This window comes from Homo sapiens, chromosome 8, assembly GCF_000001405.40.
Source record: "Homo sapiens chromosome 8, GRCh38.p14 Primary Assembly".
Taxonomy (NCBI): domain Eukaryota; kingdom Metazoa; phylum Chordata; class Mammalia; order Primates; family Hominidae; genus Homo; species Homo sapiens.
In genome coordinates this window covers 138,777,170-138,794,686 of record NC_000008.11, presented here as the reverse complement: position 1 = coordinate 138,794,686, position 17,517 = coordinate 138,777,170, and the positions used below count along the sequence as shown (strand labels likewise).

General features: G+C 47.0%; 1 protein-coding gene across 13 annotated transcripts in view, besides 2 other annotated features; it reads left to right on the top strand.

Annotated features, from left to right (window-relative positions):
- The window catches only part of COL22A1 (collagen type XXII alpha 1 chain), a 325,807-nt gene that overhangs the window by 119,355 nt on the left and 188,935 nt on the right, over positions 1–17,517 (top strand). For 12 of the 13 annotated variants that reach the window (XR_001745487.2, XM_017013150.3, XM_011516886.4 and 9 more), the window contains 3 exons: positions 13,707–13,760; positions 15,125–15,178; positions 16,281–16,334. Coding sequence is in view for 12 of the 13 variants with exons in the window: in XM_017013150.3 (XP_016868639.1) it covers positions 13,707–13,760; positions 15,125–15,178; positions 16,281–16,334 (162 nt within the window). In the remaining variant the exon portion in view is untranslated. Of the gene's footprint in view, positions 1–4,338; positions 4,550–6,282; positions 6,326–13,706; positions 13,761–15,124; positions 15,179–16,280; positions 16,335–17,517 lie in introns of those variants that run through there. The other variant, XM_011516889.3, reaches the window with a different exon arrangement.
- Positions 311–811: an enhancer, noted in NCBI's record as "H3K4me1 hESC enhancer chr8:139806119-139806619 (GRCh37/hg19 assembly coordinates)". NCBI's record gives its function as "activates a minimal SCP1, AML or CMV promoter by ChIP-STARR-seq in naive H9 embryonic stem cells {active_cell/tissue: H9 hESC(naive)}" and the evidence as "EXISTENCE:reporter gene assay evidence [ECO:0000049][PMID:30033119]".
- Positions 5,374–5,574: a silencer, noted in NCBI's record as "peak7186 fragment used in MPRA reporter construct". NCBI's record gives its function as "represses an SCP1 promoter by STARR-seq MPRAs in K562 erythroleukemia cells {active_cell/tissue: K562}" and the evidence as "EXISTENCE:reporter gene assay evidence [ECO:0000049][PMID:32103011]".

The following is a 17,517-nucleotide window of genomic DNA, read 5'->3' as shown; positions in this document are numbered from 1 at the left end:
GTATGATCTAGCAATTCAGTATACCATGTTTTCTTTTTCCATCCATCCACTGATGGACATCTAAGTTGTTTCCATATCGTGGCTATCATGAATTATGCTGCTGTGAACATGGGAACGTGAGCATCTCTGTGAGATCCTGATTCTAACTCTTTTGAATAAATATTCAGAAGCAGAATTGCTAGATCATACAGTAGTTCTATTTTTAATCTTTCTTTTGAGGAGCCACCATACTGTTTTCCACAGTGGTGAGACCATCTGCGTTCCCACCAACATGTTCAGCAGCTCCTTTTTTTTTTTTTTGGAGATGGAGTCTCACTCTGTCGCCAGGCTAGAGTGCAATGGCACGATCTTGGTTCACTGCAACCTCTGCCTCCTGGGTTCAAGTGATTCTCCTGCCTCAGCCTCCTGAGTAGCTGGGACTACAGGCGTGCATCACCATGCTCAGCTAATTTTTGTATTTTTAGTAGAGACAGAGTTTCACCATGTTGGCCAGGATGGTCTCGAGCTCTTGACCTCAGGTGATCCGCCTGCCTCAGCCTCCCAAAGTGTTGAGATTACAGGCGTGAGCCACCGTGCCCAGCCTAGCAGCTACTTTCATTGTTGCTTGCATGCTCGGTTCCAGTGGGCAGAGGCCGAGCACAGGGTATGAAGAAGGCACCCGGGGATTCCTCCAAATCAGGATCCGGGACTTCCGGGGTCCGGAGGTCAGAACACTCGGTCTGGGTTGTACCTGCCAGGCAATACCGTGCAGCTCTGTGACCTCCTTCCCATGTTCCTCTGGGACCAGCCTTTCCTCTCAACTAATGTGTCCTTCGCGTGTGTTCCTGTCACCAGGCAGGGACCGGAAGCCTCCTTCCTCCCTGTGGGCTGCAGGACATCTCTGCCTCATTGGCTCTGGGGTGAGCTCACAGCGGGCAGCCTTGGATGCCTGTTCTCCTCACACCTGAAGGCACCTTCTGGTGCCAGGAGTCCTACCTGCAGCATCACATTCAAGGGTCTGATGCCGCGAGGGCATAGTTGTGGCCATGGAGACCTCCTCACATCTTCGATGTTGGCAGGAGAGACAGGCAGCTGAATGGACGCTGGCACTTCTGGCTGTGTCCTTGGTTGACATTTTCCTGCAGTTGATATTTTTAGCAAAGTCTGAGTCTAGATTCCGCCACATATTAGCTGTGTGATTTGGAGTGAGTCACTTCCCTCTCTGGGACTCTGCTTCCTCTGTACAATGGAGGAGGTGGGATGAGATGATGCATAAAGTCCTCTTCAGGCAGCAGCTCTGAGATTAGGGAATCAGCCCACCCCCAGCCTTTGCCCCCTAGGGCTCTTTTCTGTAACTTGAAGTCTCTACTTCTCCTCCAGAAATGAGGAGACCAGAGTGGGCCGAGGGAATTGATAGCGTCTAGAGAGGGTAGAAGGCCACTCGTGACTCATGCATTGAGACTAGGCTTAACAAACTGGCTTCTTAGCTGACCGTTGTCTCCAAAGTAATTGACGCATAGGTTGGATTGAGTTTGAGGGTATTGGGTAGACCAGAGCTCGATGAGTCCAGGGATGGTAATACTCTTATTCTGGCTGTTTCTTTTTATATATTTGGAATTGTAATTAACCACTGCGGCAATGTGCATTGGCTTCTGCATGTACCAGGCATCCTGCTAAGGGTATTTCATACTTACTCTCCCATCATTAAGACAATATTTCAGGGAAGGCAATGCTGTGCCCATTTCAAGGATGAGGAGAACACGGCACTGAGGTCAAGTGACCTGCACAAGGTCACACAGTTAGTATGTGCCCAGGAAACACAATCACTGATTGTTACTAAAATGACGGGAAGCTGCAGAGCTGATTGAATCACTGTTCTTTGGCAGCTAAGGAAACTGAGGCTTAGACAAGGGGAGTGACCTTGGCCCATACACTGAATATAACAGGAACAACAACAGCACACTCTCATTAGCTGATGTGAGGGGTTGGTGAGTTTATCCACGGGAAGAGACAGCCAGGGACCTGGTAAATGAAGCAACTTCAGAAAGACTGAGCAAGAATCAGGTCTGAGTCATTCTCCAAGTATGAGGATCAGTTCAGGCACATTCTCCTGGTTAGTCCCATTAGAATGGACTCAGTACTTTCACTTAGAAGGACAAGGACAGATGCTCTTTTCTCCCTGGGCCCAAGGATGTAAGCATGAGAGCCTTGAAATTCCCATAGCCATGTTGCTACCATGAAAGGAGCCAGTTGAAAGAAGATGAAGGTGACCCTGAGACAGATCGGTTGCTGAGTAGAGAGCAGGCTCACCTGAGGCAGATCTCCAGTGTCTCAGAGCCGGGAGGCTATGCATTTCCTGCCAGTGGTCTTAGCTTTCTTTATGAACAGTAGCTATTATTAATATTGCAGGTAGAGTTGGGTTGGGATATTGGTGGTGGTGGCCTTTCAGGCAGGGATTTGCCTAGACAAGGGCCTAGAGGTGCGACAGTGTTGGGTCCTGAAGAGACCCAACTTTCCTGGAGTGGACAGGATGGACCTGATGGAGCCTGGACCACATCTTACAATATTCAGGGGCCCTGACACCCACCAGGAATGAAATGGGGGCAAAATGTCCCACAAAGCCATGCTTGGGTCAGCAACTAGGGACTGAACATTTGGTAAAGGGGGAAAATACAATAACAAGCACCACCAAAAAGTCATGTCTTCAGCATTTTCACAGAAATCCATATGGCAATAAATAAAACTTCATATGGATTTTCTGCTCAGATTTCACAGTATGGTGCACCAGAAAAAAAAAATCAGCAAGCAAATATAAGAAACTCAGCTAAATTTTACTGGGCTCGTTGACTCAGCAGTAGATAGAATTTTGGGTCACAGAAACACAGTTCATTGTCTTTTATGGTTTTCTTCAATTTTACTGGCACCATAAACCTGACAGGGATGAATGTGGTGAAAGGTGAGTCTCTGAGCCAGACAGGTAGTCCAGGTTCTTCCAGCTTCCTGGGATGCAGCCTTCTCAGAGCCTTGGCTCCACATCCTGAAGAGGATGCCAAGTGTGCAGGAAATCCACCTGAGAGTTCTGAAGTCACGGCATTGGAGGGTGTTTGTGGGGTGGTTTGCTAAACAAATAAGAAGCTAATTACCAAATGGAGGAAAGGTCAAGGTGCCTGGAATTCCTCTGCTCCAGATGTCTTTATTTGGTTTACATACACTGTCCCGTTTGAAAATGCAAGCGCTCTTAAGTTTGCAATTGACCTTAAGTTGGCACTGGAGTTACGCTGTTCTGTGTTACTTGGCAGATGGAGTCCGGTGTGCTTGGTGTGCACATCCTGCTGGACATGATGGGACCCACAGGACCCTTCCCCAGTATTTGTCTCCCGCTGATTCTAGGTTTATCTTTCCGTGGTAATGCTCAGGATATCTCTGCCTTCCTGTTATTGATTCTTCCTCCTTGCACGCCCAGCATCCTGCTTTGCCTGCTGAAATCTTAGGGGTGCTTCTAATCCAGTCACCATCAAGGTGCCCAGCATCAAGCAAGGCATTTCTATGGGCATTGTCCTATTTGTCCCTCCCATAGATTGCAGGTGAAAGACATCATTATTGTTATGCCCATTTCATGGAAAAGGGCACTGAGGCTTAGAAAAACATGCCCACACATTCATGGGATTGATTTCATTGTAAAAGGATATAGGAGGACAAAATAGTTTATAATGAGCTCTGGCTTGCTTGAAATCATAGCAAGTACTAGCTGAGGACCCAGCATGGTGCTGGGGGGCTAGGCAGGGACAGCAAATGGGGGTGCGAGCTTTGGAGAATGATTAACTCTTAAGAGTAAATAGGAGGGTAGGGACGTAGGGTGTTTTAAAAAAAATCACTCTGACCACTGTATAACTGATAGGGCACAGCCATTGGAAAGAAGGTATGTTCCTACTCAGTCGTGCTTCTCATTGGGTGGGGGCCCTTTGGGTGACAGTCAGGTCTGCAGTCACAGAGAAGCCAGGTCTTCCCTTATCCCAACAAGACAGACACACCTTGTGCTGTCCACAGTGTTAAATAATGGGTTCTTCTCACCGGAACCAGGTTATTTCTTCAATGTTTTTCAAAGGCAGGCTTTAACTGAAGTTATAAGAAGATTGCTTGGAGGTAGAATTGGACTGCAGAGCGGGAGGAGGAATGAAGAGGGAGTTCCACGACATGTGGATTTTCTTCCTGGAGCCTCTCTCCCAGAGTGTTGACCAAGAAAGGTCTCTGGAAACCACAAGACACTTCTGCATATCAGGGGAACCATGGTCTGAAAGTGGTGCTCCCCAAATTCATATGTTGAAATCCTAACCCCCAAGGTGATGGTATTGGGAGGTGGGGCTCTTGGGAGGTGATTGGGTCATGAGGGTGGAGCCTTTATGAATGACTGGATTGGCCTTTATAAAAGAGATCCCAGAGAGCCCGTTTGTCCTTTTCACCATGTCAGGTTACCGTGAAAAGACAGCCATCTATGAACCAAAAAGCAGGCCTTCACCTGACACCAAATCTGACGGCACCTTGATCTTGGACTTTTCCAGCCTCTGGAACAGTGAGAAATAAATTTCTGTAGTTTACAAGCTACCCAGTTTATGGTAGCCCCAAAAGACAAGGGGTTTCTGCTACTATGAGATATTTGGCACAATGAGGGATGGCACACACACTTTTGATTTTTTTAAGTTCTCCCTGAAGGCATAAGATGAGCATGTTTTAGCAATAGCAGCCATGCAGAACTTATTGGCCAGCACTGGTGATTTTATCTGGAATGGTATAGTGACTTTGAAAAGGAAGTGCCATGTACTGGGAAGAATCATGACATCAGTCTTTTATTGACCTCTTAATGTTCCAGGCTATTCAGTTTATGAGCTTCAGCCTCTGAGACTTCCTTTAAGAAGGGCAGGCCATGGCCAAGGTGACAGAGCTGGTTAGTAAGTGGGGCCAAGCCTGCATCCACCTGACACAAGACACAAGAGTGGGGATCCCCCATTTTTCACCACGGCATTGGTCAATGTCAGTTCCCTGCCCCTCCTTCAATGTGATGCTGATTTCTGGGAATTATTGACCCTCAAAAACCTTATAGGAATCAGCTTACTTTATATAAAGACTGCATTATAGAGCCTCTGAACCAGAAAATATAAATTATACATTTGTCTTTATATTTGTGAAACTTCTAAGATATAGATATATTGACGCCATTTGCCTCTAGCTCTGGGTCCTTTTCTCTTTGTTCATGGCTGGCTTAATCAGCACCCCCATCTCCTATTCTTAGCCTGTGCATTAATGTGCATTATTCATGGTTATCGAGTTGGATAACTGTGGTTGAGTGCCTTCTATTTTTACGATAATTAAAGGGTTTAAGGGGAAATTAGTTTAGCTGCTTATGTGCCCTCAAATAGCCTTGTAGGTTAGGGGCAAAATGCCCAGAGTTAGAATAAATAGAGGTGCTGCAGGCCCTGTCCATGGTGCTGAAGGACACATTGGGGAAGTTCTGAAGTTCACAGCACTGCAGGGCCTCAGGCAGAGCTGGGATAGGAATCTGCATTTCTCCTCTAGCTCCGTCTGACACTCAGGTGCTTGCCAAGTCTAATGGACCAGTCACAAAACCAAGGGCTTCATACAAGAGGGTGAGAGCGCTTATGGGAAGGGTAAATGCTGGACTCCTGAACTGGGAGGGCAGGGGAAGCTCAGGGTGCAGACCCCGGTCACAGACTGGCTGGATCTAGAACTTGGCTGGGTCACTTAGCAGCTGTGTAACAGTGGGTCAGTTACTTAGCCCTGTAACCTTTGCTTTCCTCATGCATAAATTAACAACTATAATAATACTTGCCTCGGAGGGTTTCTGCAAGGATTAAATGAGCTAATGAAAATAGATGACTTATGTTTGTAAAAAGTGCTCATAAACGTTAAACATAATTACCATTGCACCAGCATAGTGTTCCATTTTTTTATAAACCAAATGACGTCTTCTGCGCCCTCAGCATTAATGAGGTCTTATTCCCAGAGGCGACCAGCAGCAAAATGTCAGAGCTCTTCAGCCTCCCCACTGAGGAGGACTTCTGTAACTCCTAAAACCTCAGGAAGCCTAGAGAGTGTTATTAGAAAGCATGTTCCAGGAGGCCAACATAAAGAACCTTCCCTTTCTTCAAATTCACCTAAAATAATTCATAGATCATCAAAGAATCATGATAGTACCTCGTATTTACAAGAACTTGCTATCTGCTAGGATTCATGCATGTGCTATTTAGTTTAACTTTCATGGTAAATATTGCTGTCCTTGTTTTACAGGCTATTCACTATAAAATGAAAATTCACCTGGGACCAAGCACAGGTGACTTTACCTCCTCATGGGGATGAGCCAGGATTTGAGTTCATGTTTTCAGACTTCACAGCCTGCATTTGTCATGCTGGCAAATGATTGTCAAACTTGAGACAACTTCCAAATCACCTGGAGGACTTGTTAAGCCAACAGGCTGGACCCCACTCCCAGAATGTCTGATTTAGTATGTCTGGGGTGGGGCCTGAGAAGTTGCCCTTCTAACGCAACCCCAGGTGAGGTTGATGCAGCTGGCCTGTGACCATGCTTTCAGAACCACTGCCCAGCATATTCCTAAGACCCCACTAAAGGGCCTACCAAATGGATGAAGAATATTAGTAACAGCACCTCTAGCAATGCAACGATCTTTTTGTTAACATTTAGAAATAGGGCCTGATATTTAATTAGCCAAAAGAGCAGCAGAAATATTTGCTCTCTCCTTTCTCTGTGTCTTACTTGATGAGGTAAAAGGATGATCCCTGGGGCTCTGGATGCTGACAAGTGGGTGAGAGGAGATGGATAATTTCCTGCTAGATGGTTGCCCCCCTCCCCATATGCCTCCAAATGAGATCATGGAGGAAGTGAGTTTGTATGTGGTGGAGGGAGAGGCAGGGGTGGAAGACAGGTCAGAGCCTGGACTTGGAGCCAAGCCCTGATTTTGAGTCACAGCAGCTGTTGTGAACACAGGGAAGCCCCTCTTCTCTGAGCCTTGGTTGTCTTCTGCAGTGAATCTCATCCATTGTCATTCTCTTATATCCTGAGTGTTGATTTTCTTTTTATAGGTGGAAAATAGAGGCTTGGGTAATTTACCCAAAATAATAGTATCTGATGCTTGTTTTGAATTTCTTTGTATACGAAGCATTTCCCAAGTATTTTCTCAAGGCCTCTTACCAGCCATCTTGAGCCAGAGGTACTCCTCCTCCTTGTGTCATCTCCCTTCCAGGTGAAGGAGCTGAGACACAGGAGGGGAATGAGTCTGTTCTGCTCTGTTAACATGAGACAGAGGCTGCATGCAGATCAGACCCTCTCCTCCCAGCCTAGGCTTTTTTTCCCTTCTCTTTCTCTCTCTTCTTTGCTTACTTCCTGCCCTTTCCTTTCTTTTCCTTTTTTTTCTTCTGTGCTTTATTGTGGATCCTTAGCTTTACATATTCTTTTAAAGATCTTTCTATGCCTGACGTTATCAATCTGGGGGCAACCTCTAGTCTTTTCCCCACTCTTCTCCCTGACCCATCCCATGCACTTGGATGAGTGTTCTTAGTTATCAAGAGATACAATGGAAGAGCTCACATTTCAATAATACTTCATAGTCTGCAAATTATGTTCACATTTAATTCTCATCTGAAAGCCTGTAAACCTCTACTTTAGAAAGGATGAGAGGCTCATAGAAGTTAAATGACTTTCCTGGTGGAAGATGAATAGGCAGCTCAGGGCTATAACTTTCTCTTTTCCTTCTTTTTCTTTTTTTGGGATGGTGTCTAGCTCTGTCGCCCAGGCTGCCAGGCTGGAGTGCAGTGGCATGATCTCGGCTCACTGCAACCTTCGTCTCCTGGGTTCAAGCAATTCTCCTGCCTCAGCCTCCCAAGTAGCTGGGATTACAGGTGCCTGCCACCACTTCCAGCTAATTTTTGTATCTTTAGTAGAGACAGGGTTTCACTGTGTTGGCCGAGATGGTCTCAAACTCCTGACCTCATGATCCACCTGCCTTGGCCTCCCAAAGTGCTGGGATTACAAGCGTGAGCCACTGTGCCCAGCCTAACTTTCTCATTTCAAAGATGCTATGGGCAGCTGATGATGAGTCCAGCTGGGGAATTTTGGAAGGTCTATCACAAGGGAATGGTGAAGATGTTTTATAATGTTAAGAATCAGTGATACTAATATTAATACTAATGAAATATTTGAGTTAGGTTGACTTTCTCTTGGGGCAAAGTTTTCATAGGGCAGGAATCATTCTAGTAAAATGCTTGGATCTCAGGATGACTTGCAGGTGGATGTTTCTTAAAATCTATGTATTTGCAGTGCTGACTTGGTTATCTTAACCATGTAAAAAAAGATTCAAAAAGAGATGTTACCGTCTCTGACTCAGAACATATTCACTTCTACAGAGACCTCTAGTTCTCTTCTTAGAATACACAGTAAGGGTGGCCACATCCCTGAACAAAGCTGAAGGGACTTTCTTCTACTACCTCAGCCATCTAAAACCAACACGCCTAGTTTTCCATGTCCTTGGGAAGACCAATTCTGAAGTTAGGTTGACGATCCCTATTTACAAATGAAGACCAAGACTCAGAGCACTTCGACAATTTGTCCAAAGTCATCAGTACTTAGTGATGGGGAGGCAGGGAGAGTGGGAGGTGGACAGTGTGAAGCTGTGGCTCGTTGGCTCTAAGGACCATTACCTCTCTACCACACCCGCTGTTCACCTTGTCTCTGGGGCTTACACAAGACTAATTTTAAAGTAGGAGTCTTCCATTCCCTTACAAGCCCACAGGGCTCTAGAAAGAATTGAAGCACACAGGGCAGTGTGGACACTATGTCAAGCCAGACACTGGGAATGCAGAGGTGCTTAAGTCCTGCTCCACATCTCACAGAGCTCCCATCTTGTGGACGAGAGAAATTCACACAGACATCTACTGGGCATCTATTTGAAAGAACCAACAACGCTAGAAAACTGGCAGCTGGGAGGAGAGGCCAAGGTGTCCTGCTGCCCCCTCCTTTATTCCTGAGAAAGGAGCCCATCCCATCAAGACATCCCTGCCTCTGCGTTCAGCTGCAGGGTTGCCCAACCCACCAGAGCCAGAAGACAGACTGGTCATTCGAGGGCGTGCCATCGTAAGTGGGTGACCAACATCTCAGGCGAGTCACCCCCAGCGGCCTGATTCTGGAGGGAGGCACTATCTAGCGCATGCCCTCAGAGGAAGTCCTCATCCTTTTGTGATGCTGCCTGCTATAGGAAAATCTATCATTGATTCCTAGGGTTGTAGGGATGTGTCTCATGGACTGGTGTCCCTGGAAATGGACATCATCATTTGCCCAGGTTAGTGCAAGAGGCAGGTAGGGGTTGGAGCATGGACCTTGGAGACACAGGCTGTGTTGGGAGCTGAGCCCACTTTATTGCTCACCACCGTCTCCTGGCTCCACGCAGAGCTTCTCCGCCTCTGAGGCAGTCAAATGAGTGTTCCTTTCAGTATCCCCAGGGGAGCAGGGCTGGTGGAGGCTGAAGAGGAAGGGCAGAATCCCTGGAGAGGGAGAGCTAAGGCTGGATGCTAAAGTGTGAACTACCCCAACCTGCCTCACTCTGCCATGTAGACTCCCTGGTAGCCATGAGAAAGTCATGCACCTGCCCTGTGCCCCAGTGTGCCCGAAGGTAGGGTGAGGATAGCAACGCTTAGCTTATAGGGCTGCCCCACAACCAGGGAACTGATGTGAGTTCGGACACTATTAAGTGTTGTGAAGATGTTCGGAAGCACACTCTAGGGCCTGGAGTCTGGCTCTTCTATAAGCACTGTAACTTTGGGCAGATTAAATCTAATCTAATCAGCTGATTAGATTAGAGCTAATCAGCTGTCTGTGACTTTGTTTCATAAACACTGAAATGGAGATGATGATTCTGTCTCTTTCATAGAACTGTTGTGGGGAGGCGTTGAATGCAGTGATGGATGTAAAGTGCTCAGTGCCTGGCGCCTTGTAATAATAGATAAACTATCCTCAGCAACATCTGTACTATCACATTAATACACTATGATTAATATTACTCTACTCTGACTGTTGGTTCTGCCATTATTAAACATGCATGTGTGTTTAATCGGGTAGAAATCACCTCCTCCTGTACTGGTTACCTCTTTCAATCTCAGATTTTAAAATTTAAATTCCAGAACTGCCAAATGGGGAAGTGGCTCAAGGGGAGGGGAGGTGGCTCCTCATTTTGCTGATGTGTAACTGGAGGCTGAGAAAGCACCTGCCGTGACAGCATGCTCCAAGGAAGATGCTTGTGATAGTTTAACCCACAAAAGTAAACCAGTGGCCCCCACTTTTCCCAAGAAACAACTGATGACAGAAATCCCCTATCCTTCCCATTGAACAATCCTTTCTCTCATGAAATATTCCCAAACCACTTGTCTGCCCCTTTGTATCCAGCCAAGGATGGACAGGTATCCTGGAATGAGCATGTCTCCCGCCTTCCAAAAATCACCCCTAAATACAACACTTGCCAGTCTGAGACTGTCTCAGTGTTTCCTCTTTTAACCCTAGAAATAAGGTTGATTCTCCAACTAACATCTTCGAACCCTCTGCTGAAATGAAAGCAATGGCAGCCTGGTCTCCATCACAAGTTTAAGAATGAACAGCCCTTGTTCATTTTGTCTTGGACCCAGTTTTACCCTAGATGAGGCTCTGAGAAGCAGCAGTCCCTCTCCCTGCATGGGCTCTGGGCTCTGGGCTCTGAGCCACAGCAGGTCCTTCCATGCCCTTGAAAAGGGTCTGGTAGGCCAGGGCCTCATGGAGAATCATCAACAAGGGCATGAGTAAGCCTTCAAGAAAACCCACTGTAAAGGAACTTGCTTCACTTGGTTTAACTCTGCACTTTTTTCCACATAGTTGTTTGATCAAAGAATCCCCATTTCCTTTGGAAATGCTCTGGGAAGCACCTGGGAGGATTTTAATACTTAAAACAACTTTTCACAGTGGCCGTGTGTGATGGTTAATACCCTCAACTTGATTGGACTGAAGGATACAAAGTATTGATCCTGGGTGTGTCTGAGGGTGTTGCCAAAGGAGATTAACTTTTGAGTCAGTGGGCTGGGAAAGGCAGACCCACCCTTAATCTAGGTGGGCACCATCTAATCAGCTGCCAGCACAGCTAGAATATAAGCAGGCAGAAAAATGTGGAAGGAGAGACTGGCCCAGCCTCTTAGCCTCCATCTTTCTCCCATGCTGGATGCTCCCTGCCCTGGAACACTGAACTCCAGGTTCCTCAGTTTTGGAACCTGGACTGGCTCTCCTTGCTTCTCAGCCTGCAGATGGCCTATTGTGGGACCTTGTGATCTTGTTGTTAGTTAATAAACTCCCCCTTTGAAAAAAATATATATATATTTGTTCTGTCCCTCTAGAAAACCCTAATACACCGTGATTGTCCCCATTTTATAGAAAATTAAACTGAGATTCAGAGAGTAAGGAATTTGCCCCAAAGTACCCACCCTCCTCTAAGCGAGGGTCAGAGGGGTGGTGTTCAGCCTGCCCTTTCCATGAATGACTGCTTGCTAGGCTTCCTTGCTGGAGACATCCCCTCTGCCAGTCCCCACCCACATGAAGTTACTACCCCTCAGGGCCCAGGATTAGACCCTCCTGGTCCCAAGCCTGAGAACTGCAAGCAACTTACAAGTAAGTCAGTGTTGTGTCTTTGCACAGTCCCTTTGTCTCTGCTGTTGAATTGTCAGGTAAGGGCAGCAGAGCAAATCTGTGTGGCCATCCCCAGAGGCTTATGGTGCACACAGCAGCTGGCAAAGGTGTTCTTTCCCAGGCCACAGGTGCGCTGGTGGGGTGCTTCCATTGATCCGTCTGTCATCGTGGGCCTGGGTCACTGGGAGAACGGACAGTACCAGGAAGCCCAATTCTGTTCCCACAGCAGAGTGTGCACACTTTCATTTACCAAACCTTGCCTCACCTTGCAGCCATCCTGCTGCTGGTAACAATATCCACACTTCACACCTGAGGCCAGTGGGACTCTGAGACTTCCAGGGTGTGTTTAAGGTCTCACAGCCAGGGCTGGGCACCTGCAACCTTCACCTCCCTGGTTCAAGCGATTCTCCTGCCTCAGCCTCCCAAGTAGCTGGGATTATAGGTGCCTGCCACCACCATATCCCCCATGCCTAGACTTGGAATTACTCCTGTAATTCCAGCACTTTGGGAGGCCAAGGAGGTGGATTGCCTGAGCTCAGGAGTTTGAGGCCTGCCTGGGCAACATTGTGAAACCCTGTCTGTACAAAAAATACAAAAATTCGCCAGATGTGGTGATGTGTGCATGTAGTCCGAGCTACACAGGAGGCTGAGGTGGGAGGATTGCTTGAGCCGAGGAGGTCAAGGCTGCATGAGCCATGTTCATGTCACTGTACTCCAGTTCGAGTGAAAGAACAAGACCATGTCTCAAAGAAAAGGTCTCACAGCCAGGAAGGTCTACAGCTGAGATGGACTCATGTCTGTATCATGCCATGGCCAGAGACATTTGTCTGTCAGTCTTTCTTTTCAATATCACACTGACTTATGTCAGACAGAATGTTGAGGCCATGGAAGGCACTTCATAGAAATTTTAAAAGCATGTATATGCCTGCATGTTTGTAGATAAAATCTAGAAATATATCTGATATGCTTTGAGAAAATAATACATATCTCATAGGATTATGATGAGTAAATCAGATGATGTATGTAGAAATATACTTTGGCACATAGTGTTTTATAAACTTTACATAGTAGAGTTTCATCTCTTCATTTGTTCATTGAATACCCAGCACCCGCACTGTATAGATGGAAACAGCCCAGAGAGAGGCGCAGCCTTGCTCAGTGCCACACAGACACTGACGGAGAGCTGGGAGTGGGGCGGGGAGATCTCAGGCAGGATCCTTTGATTGGCACCAAGTGGTGTTGGAGCTGGGCGGGAGCTTAGAGGTGCTGGAGTTACCTGTTTCAAAATTCCCTGCCCCAGCCTTCTCCAGGATGTGTGTGGAGTAGAAAGTGGGGTGAGGAGCTGGTCTAGCCCCCAACTTCCCACAGCTGCACCGTGTTTATTCATGTCATGTGTGTCTGCATGAGATTCCTTAGAAAGAAGTTTGTCCCAGCTAAAATTAAAACAAGTTGAATACCTTTTCTAGCCCAGTGGTTCCCAAGCAGGAGGCTTTTGGCAATATCTGAAGACATTTTTGGTTGTCACCCCTGGAGGGTGCTGCTGGCATCTAGGGATGCAGCCGAGCATCCTACAGTGCACAGCTCAGCCCCATAGCAAAGGCTCATCCAGTCAGATGTCTATGATGCCAAGGTTGAGAGCCCCGCTGCAGCCCAATCCTCTACTTTACACATATGAGACCAAGCCCAGGGCGAGGAAGGGCCGCACCTCCAGCTAGTGAAGGACTATGGACCAGAGCTGCTTCCTCCCACATCAGGTGCATACAGATCTTCTGGGTATGTGGCTATGACATGGACCCTGATGTAGATCTGATGTGAAACCTGGGAATCTGCATTTTATACTCTCCCAAGTGATGCCTATGCTGCAGGCTTGTGGATCAATTTTTGAGCAGCAGTCTTGGTCACAATTTCCTTCCCTTCCTGGCACGTTCTCCACTGCACTAGCATTCTGAGAGCCTGTCTCAGTTATTCTTTACTAATTGCTATTCTCTTTTTTTGGCTTTAGGGTTCCCTGGGCCTGCCCGGCCCCCCTGGGAGAGACGGCAGCAAAGGCATGAGAGTAAGTTCTGTTCCGTCTGCCCTGGCTCACAAGGCAGTACTAGGCTGGTGATCTCCTGGTCAGAACCCCGTGTCCTTAAGTGGGGTGGCATTGCCAGGGCCAGACTTGAGTGGGGACGTATTTATATTAGGATCCTCGCAGATACCAGGAGCTCAGCCTAATAGCTGTGACAAGACCAGCAGCAGCTTTGCCCCCCGGGTATCGCCTGCCTGTCCTTGGAAATGATTTTTCATTTAGTTAACAAGTAGTTCTGCAAGGCAACCTTGTTATCCCCCGTGCCTAGACTTGGAACTAGCCCCAGCGAGGCAATGGATTTGCTTAAGACCCCAGTTTGTAGCTGGAGGAGTCAGAGTGAGACCCAAGCAACACCCCACACCCTATGTGGCAAGCCAGCTTTCCTCCGATCATTACCCCAAACCCCACCTCTTCATCTCACCTGCCTCTGAGCTGCAACATCCTCCAGCAACCCAAGCTCAAAGTGATCTCAGCTTCGGTGGGTCAGTCTCCTCTCCACCAAGCATCCAAGTACACATTAGTTCTGCGTTCTTCACCTCTCTGATCCCTTCGCCATGTTCAGCCACACATGATCAGGTCTCAGAGAGGGAACCTGGCTTGTGAGCAACGCTGAGGTCCACAGCTGGCAGCACTTTGGGACAGGTGGTCTAAGATCCTGGAGACAAGGGAGAAAGGGGAGTTACTTGGACCCTAGACTCTCTTCTCACTCCACTCTAGGTGGCCAACATCCTTTCCATGAAGACAACCGTCAGGGTGGCGCCAGTTTTTACACTTTCCCCCTGCTCTCTCCAAAGTTAATTTTGTTGACTTCCAGCCACAGAAGTGAGTAGGAGTGGAGCTAATACTGTGTTGCCAGGCATGGTGGCTCACAACTATAATCCCAGCTATTTGGGAGGCCGAGGCAGGAGAATCACTTGAGGCTAGGATTTCAAGGCCAGCATAGGCAACAAAGCGAGACTCTGTCTCTACAAAAAACAAAACAACCGGCTGCAGTGGTGCGTGCCTGTAGTCCAGGCTACTTGGGAAGCTGAGGCAGAAGGATCACTTGAGCCAAGTATTTTGAAGTTATAATGAGTGAGCTATGATCGTGCCATTGCACTCCAGTCTGGGAGACAGAATCAGACCCTGTTTCTAAAGAAAAAAAAATACTGTGTGCAGCAAAGGTCCGCTTCTTTGCTTATAGAAATAGCATCTGAGGGGAGCCCGGGCCCTGCTCACTGGTGGCTACCTTGTTTCTGTGATGTGTTCTGAGCTGCAGGAAGCAGAGGCCCTGGGAGACTGTGGGCTTCTCTGGTGTACCTGGGCCTGTGTCCCACTGCCTATGACTTTGTGTTGTTTTGTTTGTTCAGGGGGAGCCAGGAGAGCTGGGAGAGCCGGGGCTGCCGGGTGAGGTCGGCATGCGGGTGAGTGTTGCTGTGAGCTGGGCCCTTCTGATGCTCCCAGGGGACAAGGCCCAGTGCAAAGCCAGTTGCTTTAGGTGCAGAAGAGATGCTCAGATAGGTTCCCTGCCCCTCTTCTCATATAACTGCTTGCACATTTGTGTGTGTATATCCACACACAATTCTTACAAAAATGTATTTATATCATACTTGGTCATTTATCTTTGTTATTTAACAAGAGATGAGAGACATCTTTCTCTGTAAATACAGATGGGCCCCACACATTCTCTTAATCAATGCATAGAATTAGATGTATTGGATGTACCCAATCATACATGGATATATTGTAATATATAACATTCATATGGATGTATTGTAATATATAACATTCCCCTATTTATGGTCCTAAGGACTATACTAATGTCATTTGTTTTCCACTAAAATTAATGAAGCACTGAATATGCGTGCATGTGTGCATTTGTGTGTTTCTCCTTATCTACTATATTTTTATTGCAGTAGGATAGATTAAAAATTGGGATACCCTTGGCTGAATGAATACATGTTGTTATTTTAGCAGACTTTAATAGATAATTTCCAAACTAGTTGTTCAGAGGCAATAGCACTTCATGGTCTGGTTAGCAGAGGTACCTCCAGGTCTGCAGACTTCTGAGCTCTTTGTCAGGACTTGTCCAGGCTGTACTGAGCCCATGGCAAAGTGTGAATGATGAGCCACAGGAATCAGTTGTAATGTTTCAGAAGCTATGAACATATCCAGACCCAGGTCATGGGGAGGCCGAGGGGCACGGGGAGAGTGAAATGGAATAGTAGCATCTGGCCTCCTGGTGGTTCATAGGCACACACCTTTAGCTGTTTCTTGAAGTCAAGAGAATCTGGGTGTGAATCAGGGCTCCACCAGGCAGCAGATGGCATGACTTCTAAATAGGGAAGGGAAGCAGAGGTCGAGGGAGTGTCTGCTGGCGAGACCTGTGCCAACAGCATGGGCAGCACTTGGTGAGAGGTGAGCTAGCAGCTCTTGTCACCAAACGTGGGACTGGCTGAGCTGTACGGCTGCACTTGCCTTTCTTTTCCATCCCTGAAACTTTACTCTGTAAATGCTCTTCTGCAGGGGCCCCAAGGACCACCTGGACTCCCCGGACCTCCTGGACGTGTCGGAGCTCCTGTAAGTGAAGGCACTTGTCTGGGCAGGGGTTCTACCCCTTCTCCAGGAATCAAAAACCAGGTTCTAGCAAGTTCCTCCACCTGCATCTAGACAGTAATGCTGTTTTGCCTTACTGATGCCAATGAAGTGTTGGTATCTCCTTTCTTAGACCAGAAATTATTAGATGTTACAGTCCATAAGAATCACCCAGAGAACAAGTTTAAATGCATATTCCTGGGACCCCTTTCTCACATCAAGAAGCAGGGTAGATCCCAGGAATCTGCATTTTTAACCAGCACCACAGGATTTTTGACACTTGATCTAAAGAATTCATTTTCCCCAGCCTGTCCTGTACTGTACTCTTGTAAGAAGGGTGGAGTCTACTGAATTCTTAGCCCCTGGAACAGTGCCAGACTGTCCAGTATGGTGTTCAGTATGTCCAGTGAATAAAGAGATGAACAAACAGATATGGTGTATGAGGAACAAAGTAGCTTCTCGACCATTTAACACTATTCTCGATTCTCTATAAAGACACATGCACACGTATGTTTATTGCAACACTATTTACAATAGCTAAGACTTGGAACCAACCCAAATGTGCATCAATGATAGACTGGATAAAGAAAATGCAGCACATATGTACCATGGAATACTACGCAGCCATAAAAATGGATAAGTCCTTGTCCTTTGTAAGGATATGGATGAAGCTGGAAACCATCATCCTCAGCAAACTAACACAGGAACAGAAAACCAAACACTGTATGTTCTCACTCATAAGTGGGAGTTGAACAATGAGAACACATGGACACAGGGAGAGGAACATCACACACAAGGGCCTGTTGGGGGGTGGTGGGCAAGGGGAGGGAGAGCATTAGGACAAATATCTAATGCATGCAGGGCTTAAAACATAGATAAATGAAAGAAGCAGTGTAAAATGTCATTTTCAAGCAAAGCAGCTTGAGTTGCCAGGGAGACATTGAAGACCTCTGATCTCTGTGTGTGACCAAAATATTTAGATGAAATTAAAACAGGAAGGATGCCCACTCACCCTTTAGGTCTGGATGGCCCTGCAGATGCTCTGCTCTTTAGGACGGCGTCTTGTGGCCTTGGCCCTGTACTCTCTCTAGGTCAAAGATGTGTGTATCATTCCAGAAATCAACAAGGAGGCCTGGGTGGCACCCGCTATCTCTACCATCTTTTCCAT